The 20,401-nt window shown below is 35.2% G+C and overlaps 1 protein-coding gene across 74 annotated transcripts in view; it reads right to left on the bottom strand.

Annotated features, from left to right (window-relative positions):
* The window catches only part of MAP2 (microtubule associated protein 2), a 310,066-nt gene that overhangs the window by 151,707 nt on the left and 137,958 nt on the right, over positions 1–20,401 (bottom strand). For 35 of the 74 annotated variants that reach the window (NM_001375493.1, NM_001375501.1, NM_001375503.1 and 32 more), the window contains one exon: positions 2,306–2,370. The gene's annotated coding sequence lies outside the window, so the exon portion shown is untranslated. Of the gene's footprint in view, positions 1–2,305; positions 2,371–2,448; positions 2,800–2,967; positions 3,075–20,401 lie in introns of those variants that run through there. The other 39 variants (NM_001375537.1, NM_001375531.1, NM_001375539.1 and 36 more) reach the window with 4 other exon arrangements.

Below are 20,401 nucleotides of genomic sequence, written 5' to 3'. Positions count from 1 at the left end.
GGGGACATTTCAAGAATTCTTTCCGTTTTAATCTAAAACCAGAAAAATCCTATTCCGTACAGCCTAAAGAAATTTCTATACATGGTTTGTCACTTTTATATCCAGTGTAATGATCTAATTATTATTTATTAGAAACATGTAATGAATATTTTGGGTAACTAAAAAAAAAATGACCAGATGTCTGTTTCACAGTGTATAATTTTAAGAAAGGCAAGAACAAAAAAGTAATAGGGGAAAATGCTGACAAATTCATTTATTTGTGAAATAATTAAATAAATATTTATTGAATTCCTACTGTGACCCAGGCACTATACTATGTGTTAAAAATGTAAGTGAAAAAAATGAGTGAAATCAGTAAAGGAATTAACTCACCACAATATTGACTAGAAAAACCATGATATAGGTCCCAGAATTTGACTCTAGTAGTCAAATTCTGTTCTGCTTTAATCACCCAACCTACTATTTTAATAAACTCATTTTTTATTATATGCATTTTGTCAGCATACCGCTAGATGAATTTTTAACTGGTCCTCCAAAATTTAGATGCCAGAGGCCTGTTGGTGAGATTGTATGCCCCTTCTCCAATATCCAGACAAATCATAACAGAACTTATTAGTTCCTATTGACAACGCATTGGAGTCATTTTTTAGCAGTTAAATAATTTCACCCTTTTCCAATTCATACACATATCCTAAAGTTCAAAATTAATATAATGAGTTGCTGAATGAGTCTGAAGATTAGGAAATAGATCTTCATGTGAAATATATGCTCTCTGGATTTAATCAGATGGGCAAATACCAAATAGATTTTTTTTCCACCAAACATAAATATTTTCACTTACTTTGAGTGAAATCTAAAAAGAGAGAATGGTCTCAAGAGTTTTACAATATCTAGGTGAAATAATCCTGTTTGGGGGATTTCATACACGATTCCACTGAGTAATTTCTGAAGAAGAAGTGCAATATAATTTTATGTGTCTCAAGACTAGTATTAGCTTTTGTTCAATATCTGAAATAATGCAATTTCCTTTCTCAGACCACACTAATTTATTTTAACGAATTCATTCTCCTGTTCAAAAATCTTTATGTGATGCTGCCTACACTCTAGAAGGCTGAGGACAGTGTCATCTACCCCTTCCCTCTCTCTCTCACAATAATTACCCACAGCAGCAAGGCTCTTAAGAAGTGCTTGTGGAATGAATAAATTAAGGTTCTCATGATTATACATTGCAGATATTAACAAAGGACAATGTATTACTCTCCTTCACCTGCTACAAATATTCACACTCACAGGTGTACACTCACATACTTATAATATTTCAGTGTCAGTAGTTGGACATTATTTTCAGGTATATTTTTCAAAAATTAAATTTATTGTGTAAAATGCTTCGGACTGACAGTCTTGAGAGGAAATATTATACATAGATCCCAAGGAAAGGCTTAAAAGGTATTACTGATTTTCTTCTCAGCAGGGCAGAAAATGTCTTCCATTTTTTAAAGGCAAATTACAAATATAGGTTTTATTGATATTAACAGGTATTAAAGTTAAAGACGGTCTTAAAGAAAAGGTAATATCCATAATTGCCATCTCAAATCAATATATATCCTGATGCTGAATTTCAAAATTAATGTTTTTCATGTAAGGCATGAGGCCCAGGATCAAGTGGATTCAAGTGCATTCATGGCAAGATGAAGGATTACTTTCTTATGCTGTCAATTCCAAATAAAGCAAATGTAAAATAACTTCTTTTAAGAACTAACAACCTCGGCCTTTAAATATGTCCATTTTAAAGACTGAAATGTCAATAAAGAAGTTACAATATTTTATTTGTAAAGCCAACAATACTGAGTCATTCCTGGGCTTTCGTCTCTAGCACCCATTCTACCTGGGAAGGGCAAGGCATTTCATTTAACCATTTTAATAAATCACTTAGCAGGATTTGTTCAGATAAAATCATTACTTAGCATATTTCTCTTAAATTCAAATTAATGAATTTTCATTTAGATGGAGAATTTTGGACTTTAAAAAAAACATTACAATGATAAAATCTCCAAATAAGCCAAACATGTTGATATTTGTTAATAACTTGCAACATAGGCAAAAGACACAATTCTTTAGTCATCCTCTAATCAAAACAACCTTAGATAATAGAAGTATCTGCATAGAAAATGGTATATGCAATAGACAATGATCAACTTAAGCTTAAGGATAAAAGACCAATCATAGATAAATTAATTTAAATAAAAACATTCCAATTCTCCCCTGATTTTCCCTCATTAAAACATCCAAACAAAACATGTGGTACCTTTTAATTTTCTGAATGAGTAGCTCCCAATCAATGCTTCCTCGGTTAGAGACAAGCTGAAGAATCTACCGAAACAAAACAAAAGAAACATATATATATATATATATGGATTTGTTAACTAAATATCAAAAATTATAACTCACCAGTAAGCAAATGCATTCTTTATACTCAAATAATAAATCTATGCCTGGAGGTCTGTAGCACAAAAAAAATGCAGTACTTGAATATTTAGGAAGCTCAATAATGAATTTTAAAAGATCTTTACTCTGAGATTACATAAAGCACATCCTATGAAAAACGAATTGAAAATGAAACGAAATAAAATTAAAAGCCCCAAACCATTACCAGCGCATATGCAGCAATACCACTCAAGTCTAGCCTTTGAGAACTGCTGCAGAATCCTTCTCCGGGAGCATTATCCCCACAGGCTGGCTCTCTGGCTCTCTAGCTCCAGACAGACGCAGTCTGCAAGCCACCAGCTCGTGTCTGTGTGTGCCGGGGAAAGGGAAGCTGCAAATTAGAAGTCCCCGCAGTGGCGAACAGGAAAATAAGGCGAGTGGGAGAGAGGGAGAGAGCTCACTAGTCTCAGAATTTTCGAGAATGATGACAAGCCACTCAGCTCCGCCATCATTCACTGACAATAGGATGCAGCCCTCACTTACGATTTAGCGGTTTGCCATAGGGGCTTCTGGTACCAAATGCCTGACAGGCATTTTAATTGCCTCCATCCAAGTGTGTCCCCAGGAGTCGAGTCTATCAGCCTATGAATGTCATCATCTGGTCTCCTTTGTGTTAATGCCAGACACACACACACACACGCACGCACGCACGCACACACACACACCGCTTAAATAGAGAAACAGTTTTCAGGCATATAGGATTACAAACAAGTTAAGCTACACAAACTGGACATGACTAAATACTAGTTTATGGGAATTTTTATTATCTGCATTAAGGACATCAGAGATTTGTTGATGTTTTGTCATTGGCAGATAATTACAATATTTTTAACTATCGCATATTGCTTATTTATATTCCAAAATAAATATCTTCATTAAAGAAATGCATATATTTATGTATATTTTCCTACAGAAAATTCAATACCCTTTTAACAGTTATAATTATGCACTTGGCCATGTTTTCCTTACAAGAGAAAAAGAAAAAAAAAAAACAGAGAATTAGAAAACCAGGGCCGATATGTGATTTCTGGGGGCAATCTATTTACATACAAAAGCAAAAGGAGGTGGCAACCAGCTTGGTCCTGGGGCTTTTCAGTCCCTGAGGGCCCAGGCAGAGAATTCAATCTTTGGCATAATCTGTATCCCCTCCATGTTAGCAACTGAAATTAGCAGTTGAATATCCCTATTTTACAGTGCCCTTGTGTAGGGAGGTTAAGTGTGGAATAATTTCCTGCATTTATTTCCTGGGGAAAAGGGAAGGAGAAAAATGTCAATAAATAAGTTAATTTTTACAGCATTGTTAGCAACCTGAACCAGTGAATGGAGCAAAATTCGATGAGAACCAAAAAGGCCAGCTGTGAAGAAGGTTGCTGGGAAGAAGCATCACCATGGTTACTGGAAACAGAAAGTCAAGAAAAAAAAAATATGATGGCAGAGAAGAGAGAATGAGACTACAGGGAAGGAAATTGAGAGACAGATGATATGTTTCTTTTTTTTTTTTTCCTTCTTGAAAGAATCGCCTCCATCAGTTTTATACTGTATTTTGAATTAAGATAAATTTGCATTCTCCTTGAGCCACCTTTCTGCCCCATTTTTTAATCACTAGCTAATTTTGCTTTCATAAATATTCAAACTACAGTTCTTTTGTATGAGATCAATTCTGCTACCCCTTGCCTCTATCCAAATACTGGCTTCATGGAACCACTTAGCCTAGTCCACATCCTTTGTTTCATAGGTGAGAAAGCTGAGGCCCAAAGAATATGACCAAGGTCACAAAACCCAGGCACCCGCAGCGTTTCCTGATTCAATCCTCTGCCTTTCTTCTCTCACCAAGTGACTTTCTTTCCCTGCTCTCTTTTGTTCTGTTTGCAAGCAATACAGATTCCAGAAACATCCTTTGTCTTTGATTTTTTAAACCTTCTTGTATTTGCTACAGCAGTGATGTATGTCCCTCTTTAAAATGCATTGCAATCATTCTGAAGACTTTTGCAAATATCTGTGCTGGATTGTATTTGAGGTCTGAGGAATCTGGGGTAATTATGTCACTGCTTTTCTTTCATTTCCAGTCTGGCAATCAGATAAATCAAGCATGATTGCCCTTTTGTGAACCTATCTTGTTGAGCCTGAACTTCATCATTACATACTAGGCACTCTTATCATTACTGGCCTCATTATTTCTGCAAGCATAAAACTGGGTAATCAAATTGAGTCGGTCTCCCAAGGCACCTTCTAGGTATAGACAAGTTAAACTTTCCTGGGTTACCAAAAACAATGAAGCTGGAAAATGGAAAGCCCAGGTAAAATTAAAAATTACAATAATAATGATAATAATTCATTCCAAAACAACCACTGGAGGGCGCAAAATTTCTTAAAATCTTTCTAAACTACTCAGTAAATGTGGCTAGAATTTTGACCTTCATATTTTACTGTTTTTATTTTCTTTCCAAACTGTTCTTTCAATATTCAGTTTATATGATTCAATGCTTTTGGATTAACTCATCTATAGATAGGGTCATACTGCTTTTTTTGATGTCTAAAAGACAGTTGCTGCCACCATCATCATCCTCTCTCCCCAGTATGTAGCTATAAAATGAATAAATCACATTTTGAAAATGTATGACTACCACAGGTAATAATCACAAGAGATTTCAGGTTTTAGTGAATCCTACATACTGGTTAGAATTCTTCCCCCGACCCGCAAAAAAAAAAATGCCCCTTTAAATATAATCTCCCTGTTAAATGTCTATTTTTCTTCAGTGATTTTGGATAATGAGGTGATTTTTCAAAGTGAATGCTTTATTTTAATGTATTGTCTTCTGTTCACTTCTGAACATAAAAAATGATGCCTAAGACTTATGTCTGGGAACATGAATCATATTCTATCATGAAAGCACATAACAGGGTCCTGGTCAGTCTAAAAAAATAGCACAGCTTCCAAAAACATTTAATACTCTCTGGAGGTCATTTAATATTTAGGGATACCTAGTTCAGTACATGAGAATGAGTTGGTACACTCTTTTTCTTTTCTTTTTTTCCCAATTGTTTCCAACATGGAGTAAGTACCATATGTGAAACATAATTACTGCCCTTAGGTATGTCATATTCTAAGAATACAAGACAACCGACAATTGAGATACTTCTGTGAATTTTTAGATTTTTCATATTTATGCCCAAAAGCCTAAACTGATGCTTGCCTTACCCTTCTTCTGTCTGACAGTATTTTAGACCTTGGATTACCACCATTCATCCATTCAATCAATTGTGATGGCACACATACATATTTTTCAGACTCTTTACAGGTTCTGGGAATGGAAAAAAAGTGGGAAACAGGATTTCCTTTTCAAGACACTTCATTTAATAAATTAGTTAACAGAAGGCCAGGCATGGTGGTTCATGCCTGTAATCTCAGCACTTTGGGAGGCTGAGGTGGGTGGATCACCTGAGGTCAGGAGTTTGAAACCAGCCTGGCCATAGTGAAACCCCATCTCTACTAAAAAAAAAAATACAAAAATTAGCTGGGTGTGGTGGTGCATGCCTGTAGTCCCAGCTACTTGGGAAGCTGAGGCAGGAGAATCTCTTGAACCCAAGAGGTGGAGGTTGCAGTGAGCCGAGATCGCACCACTGCACTCCAGCCTGGGCGACAGAGCAAGACTTCGTCTCTCAAAATAATAAATAAATAAATAAATTAGCAGAAACCTAACTTCACACTTCCTTTTCTCACTTTGATGAGATACTATGACTCCACCCCTCTGTCATATCTGCTTCATTGTAGATGCCTGATCTTTAAGAATCTGATTTAGCTATACTCCCAAATTTAGTTAATTCACCCCTGTGCCTCTTCTGAAATAACTTTGATTTCATTCCCTAAATATATTGGTCTGCGTATTTGTGTATGACTACCTAAACTCTCCAGGAATGAATAATGGAGACTTATCTTCCTTACCTCCTTAAAGCCTTTGCTCATAGATCATCTTCCAACCAGGGCTTTCCTAACTACCATAATGAAAGTTGCAACCATGCCCTTTCCATGGCTTTTCATTCCCTGCTGCATTTTACTTTTTTCCATAGCACTTATCATAGCATAAACTTTTCTTATTTACTTCTAACTTCACCCCGCTAGTTCCACGAGGGCAGTCATTTTTACATGTTTGGGACACTGGTATCCAAAGCACCTAAAACAGTGCCTGGAGCGTACTGGCACTCAAACATGTTTTTTAAATGACTGAATATGAAAAATCACACTAGTGGATGAATTGGAATGTCTAAACACAAGAGAAGTTTTTGTATTCCATATTGTCTTCCCTATTCTATATATTCAGTCTTTCTTAAAAATATTGCCTTTTATTTGTAAGCGACTCCTTGCCACATATATATGTATTTTTTTTTTTTTTTTTTTTTTTTTTGAGATGGAGTCTCACTGTTGCCCAGGCTGGAGTGCAGTGGCGCGATCTCGGCTCACTGCAAGCTCCACCTCCCGGGTTCACGCCATTCTCCTGCCTCAGCCTCCCGAGTAGCTGGGACTACAGGCACCCGCCATCACGCCCGGCTAGTTTTCTGAATTTTTAGTAGAGACGGGGTTTCACTGTGTTAGCCAGGATGGTCTCGATCTTCTGACCTCGTGATCCGCCCGCCTTGGCCTCCCAAAGTGCTGGGATTACATGCATGAGCCAGCGCACCCGGCCTTCCTTGCCATATATTTTGTAATCAATATGTTTTATAATTTCTATTATAGGATGTAAATTTATTTTAAATAGAGACTTGTCTCCTACTCTCTTTGAATTCTGCAAAGTACCTAGCATGGGGCTATCAGCTTTTAAATGCTCAGAAAGAGTTTGTTTGATAAATCATGCCTTCTCTTGGTATTAAAATGTGCTAAATTATAATTTTTAGATTTTTAAAATAAAATTTGACAAATTAATGCTGCCTCATGGCCAAAATATTTTGGAATGACCTTTGTAGAGATATGACTACACTTACTAAAATTTGTACTTTCAAAAATTTATAATAGAAATAATACTTATGCTTTCCCCTAGTATTCTTGAGTTTGTTATTCTAAATCAAATAGGCAGATGTGTAAGTATTTTACAAATTATCATGATATCCAAAATCACTGAACACTGTTTTGCCTTATTTACTATAGATGACATTTTCTCTTCCAACAAAGTTGGTCCACACAAAAATATATTTTGGTCAAAAAAGACAAAAAGTGTCATAATCAGCACATTAGTCTTAGATATACAAAATGATAAAATTATATTACTTTTTACCTACAAAATGCCAATTTCAAATGGTTCAACCTAATACCTAGAGAAGCTATACATGGATGCGGGATTGGGTAGCGTGAGTTGTACAAAATGACTCCCATGTTTATTGCAGCATTATTCACAATAGCTAAGATATGTAAACAATCTAAGTGTCTGTAGATGGATGAATGGATAAAGAAACCATAATCTCTGTGTCTGTGTGTGTGTGTGTGTGTGTGTGTGTGTATCTATACTATGCAGCTCTAAAAAAGAACAGGATCTTGCCATTTGCCACAATGTAGATTAGCCCGGAGGACATTATGCTAAGTGTAGTACATTAGACACAGAAAGAAAAACATTGCATGATCTCACTTATTTGTGAGATATAAATAACAATAATAATAAAAATTCAATGATACAGACAGTGAACAAAACTGTGGTTACCAGTGACAGGGCTGGGGGACAGTTTGGCAGTGGCAGGGAATGAGGAGATGTAGGTTAGAGTATACCAAATAGCATCATGTAGAATGAGCAAGTCTAGAGATCGAATGTACCATGAGAATCATAGGTAATAACATTGTACTGTACAAAAACCAAATAAACATCACATGGTACCCCATAAATGTATACAATTATGATTTGTCAGTCAAAAATATTAATAATAAAACTTTTAAAAAATGTGGTATATTCATAGAATATTGTTTGGCAATAAAAAAGTGAAGTGCTGACATGTCACAACACAAATGAACCTAAAAGCCATTATACTCAGTGAAAGAAGGTGGTTACAAAAGGCCATATATTTTATAATTCCATTTATATGAAATACCTAGGATAGTCAAATCCATAAAAATGGAAAGTATATTAATGGCTGCCAGAGGCTTGGGGCAGAGGGTAATGGAGAGTGACAACTAATGCGTAGGGCCTTCTTTCTGGGGTAATGAAAATGTTCTGAAATTAAGTAATGGTTATGAGTGCATAACTCTATGAATATATTAAAAACCACTGAATTGCTGAATTGTATACGAGTGAATTTCATGCCACATGAATTATATCTCAATAACTCAGTAAAAAATAAAGTAATAAGGGGCTGGGCACAGCGGCTCATGCCTGTAATCCTAGCACTTTGGGAGGCTGAGGTGGGTGGATCACCTGAGGTCAGGAGTTCGAAACCAGCCTGGCCAACATGGGGAAACCCTGTCTCTACTAAAAATACAAAAATTAGCTGGGTGTGGTGGCTCACACCTGTAATCCCAGCTACTCAGGAGGCTAAGGCAGGAGAATTGCTTGAACCCAGGAGGCGGAGGTTGTGGTGAGCCGAGATCGTGCCACTGCACTCCAGCCTGGGCAATAGAGTAAGACTCCTCAAAAAAAAAAAAAAAACAGAAAAAGAAAAATAAAGAAAAGAAAAAAAAAGAAAGATAAAAAAGTAATAAAAAGGTCCCAGTCTCTAGGCAGCAAGTCTTTGAATTCCATGGCCACTAATTAAAATATGACAAGTTTATAATTCAATCCATGGCACCTTCCAGATTATTACAAATTGTTAGAAGCATGGCTCCAAAAGCTATTCATTTTTTTGAGGCCATGAGACTCTGATTCATGTGGGAATCTGAAAATCTTCTAGAAGTGTTTCTTGAATTCTTTAACAAATTCAATTGCAGATCTGCAGATCTCCATTTTTAAAAATTTCTTTTACATGGACAAATGGATTAACATGGTATTATAAATGAAAGATATGTGCTCTAGTGGATCCCTGATTTATGTGATAAAGAACAACTGGTCAGGAGTTGAAAGACAATCACTAAGCATCTAAAGGATAAATATATGTAAATCACTCTCATGGCTGTCTTTTGTTTTTCATAGAAAACTATAAAAAGTATTAACTATACACCATCAACGAAGCTGAGTTACTAGTTATAAAAACATCTGTATGTTGAGAAACTCATGCAAATAATTCTGACAGCAAACAATGGACAAATTTATTACTGAGGAACAAAATTTCTCCTGAAAAAGTAGAATCCTTGAATCACTTGACTCCTGCCACAAGTTTTGTTATGATTAAAAAATGGACTAGATTTGTTAGCTTGTTGTCTATTTGATATTTCATTTAAGTTTACTAGGTATTCTATGCCACTGAGCTCTGGGCTATTAACTTACTTAAAATTTGAAAATAATATTGATATTATACAAGCCCAAAGTCCTATAACTATCTGCCTTACTTTATATGTATTTTAACTATGCCTTATACATAAAACCCAGTAAGAAATATTTAAACAAAATATTTAGTATCTCCACTGAACTTGGATGAAAAACAAATTACAAAATAAAGTATATTTATAAAAAGCAAAGAGCATATTGAGATACGCGTTGCATGTGGTCATCTTTGACATAGTCACTGTGATATTAATTAGAGTTGTACTGCAATGAGAAGGATGAATTTATTCCAACCAAGTAGGGTGAAGAGTAAGACAAGATAACTAGAAATCACTTTCCAATTGCTCTTGAATCAGGCTTTAATACTTCTGAGTTATGATGAACAGAGTTTAGCTTGACTATTTCATTTAGAATCTTAGTATGATGATTTTTTTAAAAAATCACTTATATTCTTATCCAAATGTATGTACATAATACATTTCAAATTATTTTTGGATTATGCACCATCTTGAACCTCCGAGATATTCATATTTCACTGACAAATTTTGCACAATTCTAAAAGTAATAAATTCTCGTTTTTCTTTATTCCATCAGTGCTTTTATTTCACTTATCAAGGTAAAGCCAATGGGATGGTATAAATGGAGAGAGAGAAAGAAAGACAGGTTATTCTTATTGTCAGCATTCAAAGTCTGACTGCAATTTAATAAAAACACTTGCTTAAAAGCCATATTTAGATTTCATATGACATTACCACCTAAGCTCATGAAATAACTATACTCAAAGTTCTAGTCTTCTCACATACTTTTACTAAAGTAAAATAAACCAAACTTCTTTTTAAAAACAATGTCACATGAACTATAATTATGAAAAATAATTGCTACTTCAATTCCTGAAGTCATAATCTCATTACACTTTAAGAACTATGTTGGGAATTAAAAGCTCTCAAGAGGTTGAAAGGAAAACTATAATAGTTGAACAACTAAGACTCTCATACATTGCTGGTGAGAGCTTAAATTAATACAACCACTTTGGAAAACTGTTTGGCAATATCTAGTGAAAGTAAATACTAAACTAAATATATGGAATAATATATGAACTTCCAGAGCAGATAAAACTAATATTCAGAGAAAGAAATCGGAATACTGTTTACCTCTGTAGAAAGTAGTATGAGAGACTGTATTGACTTGGAAGATGTACAATGTCTTCTTGACCTGAGTGGCAGTGACATGGGGTAGAGGGCACTCTATTAATGTAATGTACCTTCATAATAAAAATTGTAATAAATATTATGGTGCCATTGTTTTAGAAGTTCTTCATTCATAAGTTTTAGGATCTATAGTGAATATTATGCAAAAGGGTTCTTGTATAAGCATATATTTTACACACATACCATGTAACCATGGCTGTGTAAATAAAGACTATATGATTATGTGTATATTAAATAAACAAATTGTAAGGGCACATTCTCCTTAGTAGGGAGAGTATGTTTTACATTGGCTTTTAGTAAATAAATGGCAACTGTAAAGTAAAAGCACATGAAATGAGAAATGGAAGTAAAATTTGTATTTTAGGAATATGGCAACAAGTGAAAGTATTTGTGTGAAGCAGCCCTTACAGAACTACGCTATTATGACAAAAGAATGGACAGCTAAGATGCTTCCCGTATCATCCTTTTCACAAAAATCCATTACCCATTGAGGCCTATCGTAATCGTAAGTTTATTTCAGGAATCACTGATTTCTTCTCTTCCAACCCAAATCTTACATTTCCTTTTAGGTTCATTTAAAATTGTGCCTTTTTCATAATGGCTTCCAAAATTCCCACAAGCACATAATGTCATAAAGCTCTTTCCTTTCTCAGAATCGCCAACATATAAATCAAAAAACAAAAACCATCATTATACTATAATGCCTGTTATTAGATACGGGCTTGGTCCATTTTTCAGTAATTTACATTCAGTTATTTATTCTAATATTTGCGAATTTGAAAAGCATATGACATGATTCTGATAAAATGATTAAGAACCTATAAAGTGCCAGTCTTTTTGAGTACATTATTTTATTCAACAATTCTGAGAGTCATGTGCCTCCATTTTACAGTTGAGGAAATAGGCCTAATTAGGTTTAGTAAAGTGCCCAGGGGAACACAGCTGGTAAGTGGTAGAGCAGAAATTCAATCCCTGGACTTCTCAGCTAATTAGTTTGTAATTCAGCCTAACACTTAGAAGGTATCAGAAGAGGAAGAGATAAACATAGAACTAAGAATTTTCCATTTACACTTACAAGATAGCAGAAAGGGAAGAGATAAATTAAACACAGAATTAAGAATTTTCTATTTTTCCAGGAGAGGGAGTTTAGACAGACTACTTGTTATGTAAGTAGGCTGTGCATAAAACAGATAAGATTAAAAATATAGATTTTTACTGTCAGAATTATTTCAGATTCCATCAGTTCATATTTAAATAATATATATGTATAAACAAGCATTCCTGGAGGTGAGGAAAACATCTTAATTTTAATTACTATCTATCTGGTTTAATCTTGGCAGAGGATATAGAATATATGAGTGCAATATAGGCTCATGGGTTTTTAAAGAACTTTGCTGTTTGACAATTTGGGCTTATTATGATTGTTTTGAAACATCTTGTTGAAATTAACTCCTATCTTAGAAGTACAGATGATAATAGTAAAGTACGTATCTTAACACAATCACTACCCTTATTTTATTCTATCAAGTTAGAAATCATCAAACATCATGGTGAATCTTAAACGTTACATGAGAAAACACCATATCATGTTATGTAATCTATGTCCATTAAAAAAGTTAACACATTTTTAATAGTTAAATTTTGGTGTGGACACTTTTTCATTTCAGACAATTCTATTCTTTCCATGAAGTTTTCCCTCAGATATTGCCTTCTCAAGCAGGCTTCACCTGACCATCCTATTCAATACTGCAATCTGTAATTCCTACTCCCAATCCCCCTTACTCCATTTTGCTATCATCTTCTAATGTGCCACATAATTAATTTACTTGTTATGTTTATCCTTTATTGTCTTTCCCCATTCACTTGTAAGCTTCATGAAGGCAAGACTCTGCCTGTTTTGTTCATGAATGTATCCCAAATACCTAGAACTAGGTCTGGTATATAACTGGTGCACAATAAATATTCAATAAATATTCATTCATGCATGCATGAACACTGAAACACTGAAATTAAAACATTAAAGCTCATATAAGAAGCATAAATTACCTTCCTAAAAGTCTTAGGGCTAAAAGTTTCAGAAATCATGAGATAAAACATGTAGTGTAAGTGTTTCATTTATTTTGGGTCTTGGTTAGCTATTTGAATATACAAATTTTAGATTTTTCATCTTTGGCACATTTATAGGGAGTTTGAGTAACCCCTCTTCCTTTACTTCAAGTTTTAAAAAGTATTTACTTATTTTTTTATTTCTACAAAAATTATTCTAGCAGTTTTTCTTATCTACTTGTGAATCCTTAGTTATAACTAGTAAATTTATTTTTATCTTACATATAACCTAAGTGTTAAGACAAACCGTATTCACTGTAGGTACAACTACCCTATAGGCAAACAATATTTGCAAGAGAAATGGGCAAACCATGAAGGAAAATTAAGAGAATTAGTGCGGAAGATTTTTTACTAAATAAAATTTTTATTTAGCAGCCAACCAGTCAAGCAGAACCATCTTCTAGAGTCATTAATTTCTTGGCTGATCTTCTTGAAAGCAGGAAATGAACCTTCATTTAATCAAATTCTCCACAAGTGGGGCCATTACAATTTCATGAAAGACTGAAATCAAATCAAATGCTACAAAATCAAATGCTACATTTCATGACAGTAGATCTAAATACCTGATTTGTTTTTGAAAACTACTAAAAGGAGCTATTTTGTTGACTGCTTTCTAAGCACTGAAGATTAATATATCTCAATATTTTAAACCTCTCTTGTTCCTTCAGTCTTCAGCAACTTCACTGAATTGGAGAGCCAGCAGAACTTAAGAGGTCAGCTAGTGCCAATCCATTTAAATTTAGTAATCTTTAACCTTAACATGACCAGATTATTCTGAAGAAGCTTAAATTCTGCATGATCCTATAGCTTTTATTTTCAGTATCTAATATTCCCAGTTCAAATAATATGTCTACTTTGATGGTTTAATAAATACAATATCATAAGTGGAATGATTTCTGAAAATGCATATATTTATTTTGTGAATAACTGAAATCCATATTCCAAAAATTTATGAAATCCAGACTTATTCTCTTGGCTGTTGAGGGGACAGTGTACCCTAGGGTGATGGTCACCAGGAATTACATATGTAATTTCTTAGTCTCTCCTCTTCCTCTAGTCCTTGTACCAAGGTTACAATAGAGATGAGAAGAGAGAATTAATTATCTATGCAGGTATTTATTTATAGATATTTCAATAAAACAGAACTACAACACACTTTGAATATTTAGAATGTATTCAAGTACATCTACATGTGCATGAAAGTTCCAAATTCTCCTATTGATTGGAACCAAAGAATAAAGATGATGAATATCAAATCCCTAGTGTGAAAAGAAACAGGAACTTAGATGAAGAGTGGGCGTACTGTTTCTATTTCTACTAAAACTTCATGGCTCATTCTATCATCAGATTTCTCAGCTGCAAAGGATTTTAGGTAAAAGATATACTGGCTTTTAAATCAAAAGGAAATATTATACATAAGCAATGCCTATATATGTATATTCCTTCTCAACATTATCATTAAGTTGGCGAGAAAGAGTTCATGTTATGTTATATTTATACTCGTTTCATTTTCCATAGTTTTGTGGCTTTTTTTTTCCTTTTGCTACTAATAGCAAACATATAATTGAAGAAGTCAGTGTTTTATTTAATATTCTGTAAAACGGAACTCAATTTTTTTTCTAGGCATGGTCTATCTACTTTTTTATTTCAAATGGAATGCAAAAATAGCTATTGTAAGAATCTGGGCCAACAGATCTGTCTGGAAGAGAAATTTCCACACCCCCAGGACCACTGACCTTTTTCTTGAGCTACCACACTCTTGTGTTTTGCTTTTTTTGACTTTTCCATTATCTTTGTTTTGCCTTCCCCTTTTCAACTCTTTCTCCTCCATTTTACCCCAAAGTAATGGGGAACATAGTCAAGGAAAATAGTTACGGAATCATTTAAATAAACTTTCATCTATATAGGTCCTTGGTTTTATGTTAGTTAGGGGCAAACTTGATGTGTTTTACAAAACTTTCTCTAATATCTGGTAGGCTCCTTTTACACTGGGTACAATGAATAATGTTAATTTGTGTTGTGGACATTGACCTAAAAAAATGGAAGAAGTCGCTGATGGGGAGGAAGATATGTTGTCACTGAGATCATTGTATGTAGTGCTGCAGCATGGTATTTATTTATTTTTAAACCAGTGAAGCTAAAAAAAATAAAGAAAAGTGAATCAAATGTCCAGTTTATACATACTTTCTACTGTAATGCTTATACGCATATAGATGACATATTAGAAAAAAGCAGGTGATGCCTCAAAAACAGATTTTTCTAGTGGCACGGGGATGCTTCTAATTTTCTTATAATTTCTTATTTTATTTTGGAGCTGTTTAACAAAATGTATGATTGATTGATGGCGGATGAGAGAAAGGGATGTGAGGCCTGTGTTAAGAAATGCACAAAAGGAAACCTTGAGAAACTGACACTCATGAGTTAAAAGCCAAGTGTGATGAAAAAGAAACTTATCTTACAACAGAAAAAAGCTGAAGAAGAACAACAACAACAACAAAAAAACAAAGAAACAAACGGGGGTTGTGAAGATGATAAAATAGCACAGAAACGCCAAGACTGATTCAGCACTATTTGTACATCACTTGAAAAAAGAATTAAATGAAAACTGATGATGTGTGTTAGGAGAGTTAAGACACTCAAATCAGAAGAAGAAGCAAGAATATGCGACATGGATAGAGAAGAGTTGGAGGATGAAGAGCTTTGGAAACAAATAGAGTTTCATTTTTAAACCACTGAGCCAGTCTGACAGGTGAAGCAGGCTGAGGCACTTGAAAGATCTTACTCAATAGCTGGCATTGCTGAATGCCCAGCTGGGTCTGAATGAGAGTAGTTTTAAACAGGGACATTGTTCCAAGGAAGATTTTAGTTTCACGTGCCTTCCAATACAGCCTTATAAATCCTGAACAGCGTCAATATTCACCAGCCACCTGCAATCAGCATTATTCCAGAATTTGCTAGATACAGCAAGTCCGTGACAGAGGATATATTAATTAGGATGGTTGGTCCTCCACTCAGGACTTACGTGTATTGATGATATGCAAATCAATGCAGTTCAGTCTCATCAACAGGATAAATTAAGTGCATCCTATCATGAGGATTATCTTGGAAAGAGTGAATGTCACTCTCAATAGGCCTCTGGCCTGGAGGTGCATAGTCAGCAGTCGCTGAGTGAGGGAGAATGAAAAACAGACAAAAAAGTATTTCATCATTATTGACTGGCTGGTTGCATTCTTCCCTAGATTGAATGCTTGGCTACTTATATTAAAAAAATCTTTGCTTAGAAAAATTTCCTTCTTAAACATCTGTGCAGTCGGACAAGAAATCCAAAGGTAGCATTTTTGATTAAGAGACCCGATGAGCAAATAACAAGAGAAAACAATCCTACATTGTGACCTTTGTATTAAGAGTTAATATTTCACTGGGAAATGATGCCCACACAGGACAGATGTTTTGTACTAGAGAGGATGAATTTGTGATTTCTTGTTGGACTTTCTTAGGAACTTAGGTTAGTTAACAAAGAGCTAACGGCCTCAGAGAGAAAGATCACAAAATTGTATGACAAATGTGAGAAAAAGAAAAAAACTTTGGATAAGGATATACCTATGACTGACATTTTAAAGAAGCTATAAATCATGGATGGAAATAGTTAAGGAAATACAGATATAATTCAATCTGTAATGTATAGATATTTTCGGTCTGGGAATAGTGGCTAATGCCTATTATCCCAGCACTTTGGGAGACCGAAGTGGGAGGATCGCTTGAGCCCAGGAGTTCAAAACCAGCCTGGACAACATAGAGAGACCCTGTTTCTACAAAAATTAAAAAAAAAATTAGCTGGCATGGTAGTGTGTACCTGTAGTCCCAGCTACTAGAGAGGCTGAGGTGAAAGGATTGCTTAAACCCAAAAGGTTGAGGCTACAGTAAGCCATAATCATGTCACTGCACTCCAGCCTGGGAGATAGAGCAAGTTCCTGTCTCAAAAAAATAAAAACAAAAAGAAATTTTCCATTGAGTTTGCAATTCCTCCTAATACATGTTATCCAGGCAGCTTAAAACACAATCAATGAAAAAGAGTTGTTAAAGTCTAGATTTAATAGCAAATTAAATGTTATGAGTAATCTTGAAGCCTAATGAAAGTGAAGCAGCCAAGCGGTGAATCTGAGTTTAGTGCTTGAGCTCGGTATTTATGATGGTGGGAGTCAAGACAACTGAGGTGTTCACAGCAAGGGGCGGAGACACATCACAGGTGGCAGAAGGAATCTTGCTGTCCTGTGCAGCTGTTAGAAACTCTAAACTGTTGAGTGAAAAAAGGCAGAAACAGAACAGTATGGGCATCTCTACAACACATTGCAATGAGGGCATGTGGGGGCAGGAGAATGGAAGTGGAGCTCAGAAATGAAAGGAAAAAAAGTTAAAATAACGTAAAGCATGAAAAAAGATTTGCATGATCTGATGATAATGAGCCAAAGAAGTGAGGATTATGAGAAGGTTAATTCTTTGCATCTGTGGTTCAAAACAACCACCACCATAACAGGTTATGAAATAAGAACCTGCACTGCCCCCCAGCACCATCTATGGGGAAGGGGCTATGAAAGTAGACATGAAGGTTGTGGCTACCCCTGGCTTTTGGTTTTTTTTTTTTTTTTTTTTTTTTTTTACTCCACAGAGCTGTGCTAAAACACAGATTCTGGGCCTCACCTTTGTGTAATTCTACTCAGAAGTCTAGAGGTAAGCCATCAGTCCAACATGCATTCATTAGCATCCCAGGTGATGCTGGCGCTACTGGTTCATTAAATCCAGTTTGAAAAAACACTAGCATAAATGATTCAAAATAACTTGAGATAAATTATTTCCTCACCAGATGTAAAGGTATTTGCCTCTTGTACATACAAAACCAACAGGGAGTTCCAAAAATGAGGTACAGGGGTCAATCTATATGTGAATATGAATTTGCACTGAGAACAAAGCATACTGAATTATATCAATGTCTTCTACACTTACAGATATTACAAATTAAAATGTATTGTTTGAAGCAACTGAATTTCCCTTCATTTTTCTATTCATTTTCCTTTTCGTATTATCCCTTTTTCATTAGCTGCGATCGGTAATAACAGGTAAAAATCCAGAAAAAAATGCTCTGATCAAGGATATTTTAAGACTAACTGACCTTCATTTCACATTGACTGTTGAGAGATGAATGAAAGTACAAAGAGGATTCCAAGATGGTATTTATAACATATGCTTTAAATAAGATCTACAAACATTGCTTAAAGTTAGAAAGTTACCTTCAGCATTCTTGCCATATTTTTATCACCTAGTACGTGCAAGTTTTGCACTTGATGTTTGTGAACTGGTAACCATAGAAAAAAAAAGCTTATTTTTTCAACGCAAAGCAAAGTATAAAGTGAATAAGACACCTGTCTGTTTCAGATGAAAGTACATTACTTCAGCTTCCACAGTGTTCTATCTTGGTTGAGACCAAAACCTCTATGAGGAATTTGGGAACAGCACAGCCAGCGCCCACAAGGGGCTATGTTAATATCATCTTGGTCTTCAGAGCTTGGGACTGGATTCCAGAGCTTGGAAATTCCAGCCACACTGTTGCTTTAGTCTGAGAGAGGCCAAGGGATTTCACTATGAGCTAGAGAAGTATACGGGGGTGGGTTGGGAAGCTGGTGGCGATGCAGGTGTCCTTAATCTTGAACTAGATTCATATGGCCTCTGAAGGAGGGTTGTTCTCGTGGATCTCTATAGATAACAATGAAAATCTTTTATAAGGTGCTTACTAAGGACAGGGCATTTTTTGAGCATCAATTTGTATAGGTTGGTGCAAAAGTAATTGCATTTTTTGCCGTTACTTTTAATGACAAAAACCACAATCACTTTTGCACCAGCCATTAACTTGTTTAATCCTCATAGCAACTCTGTGAGGTGGTTACTTTCATTATACTCATGTTACAGATGATCAGACTAGGACACAGGAAGACTAAACCACTGGATATGAATTCAGGTCATATGCTTTTATACTACAGGTATGCTTTTAAAACTCCATTCTACTACTCTGTACTCTCTTATATTCTGTATATAATCAAAACTGATTCTACAGCAGAGACAAGGCTAAAGACCTGGCAGGAGTTAAGGTCTGGCATCTCAGTCCTCTAGCTGAAAATTTCAACAGCACATTCACATAAGTAATGTGCATAATGTGAATAATCAGGTACCCAGGAAGCAATGGAATATCCAAAAACAGTTCTGGTAATGTATTTCTTAGTCTTTTAATATCCTGAGATGTGTGGATAACTAACATTAATGATTCAATTTTTCAAAAATGAAACATGACCCCCAATTTTTAAAAACTGCTTTATATTCTAAGGCTAGTTGAGGAGTCAAGAAAGAGAAAAATTTCTGTTTTGGTATTTGAGCTGGTGTGCAATCACCGCTGGGCTTTTGAGGCATTGGTTTCAGTTTTTCTGGTGCTTCACTGGGATGCTGTTTGCATTCGCTTTTTGTTTTTTTTTTGACAGAGTCTCACCCTGTCATCCAGGCTGGGGTGTGGTGGCGCAATCTTGGCTCACTGCAACCTCCGCCTTCTGGGTTCAAGTGACTCTCCTGCCTCAGCCTCCCGAGTAGCTGGGACTACAGGTGCACATCACCACACCTGGCTAATTTTTGTATTTTTAGTAGAGAGGGGGTTTCACCATGTTGGACAGGCTGGTTTCAAACTCCTGACTTTAAGTGATCCACTCTCCTCGGCCTCCCAAATATCTGGAATTACAGACGTAAGCCAGCGTGCCTAACCTGCATTAGCTTTTTTTTTCAAGCTGGAGACACCCCCAGTGTGTAGCTACCTTTGTGACTCATATGCTCCAGTGAAAGGGGAAAATGATATCTTACCCTCTTAAATTACAAGATGCCCAGAGGAAATAAATAAATTAGTAATATTGTAGTGCCTTGGGCATTATGATAAATCCCAAAGTATAATATCCAGAATCACATATGTGTTCATGTTTGCTTTAGAGTTAAAGCACACTTTCTTAAAAATATTCTAGTCACTGAGCAAAATTATTTTATATTTATTTTCATTTTGAAGAATGAGTTTCAGCACTGTTAATTTGGGGAACATCAATATATCTTTCATGACCCTTAAGTATAAGGAATTCCTTAATTTTCCCAAATTTATAACTTCACTATATCTTGTAATAGTAATTA

The sequence above is a fragment of the Homo sapiens genome, chromosome 2, assembly GCF_000001405.40.
Source record: "Homo sapiens chromosome 2, GRCh38.p14 Primary Assembly".
NCBI classification, from domain to species: Eukaryota; Metazoa; Chordata; class Mammalia; order Primates; family Hominidae; genus Homo; species Homo sapiens.
The sequence above is the reverse complement of the archived record's forward strand: the minus strand, read 5'-3'. Positions and strand labels throughout refer to the sequence as shown.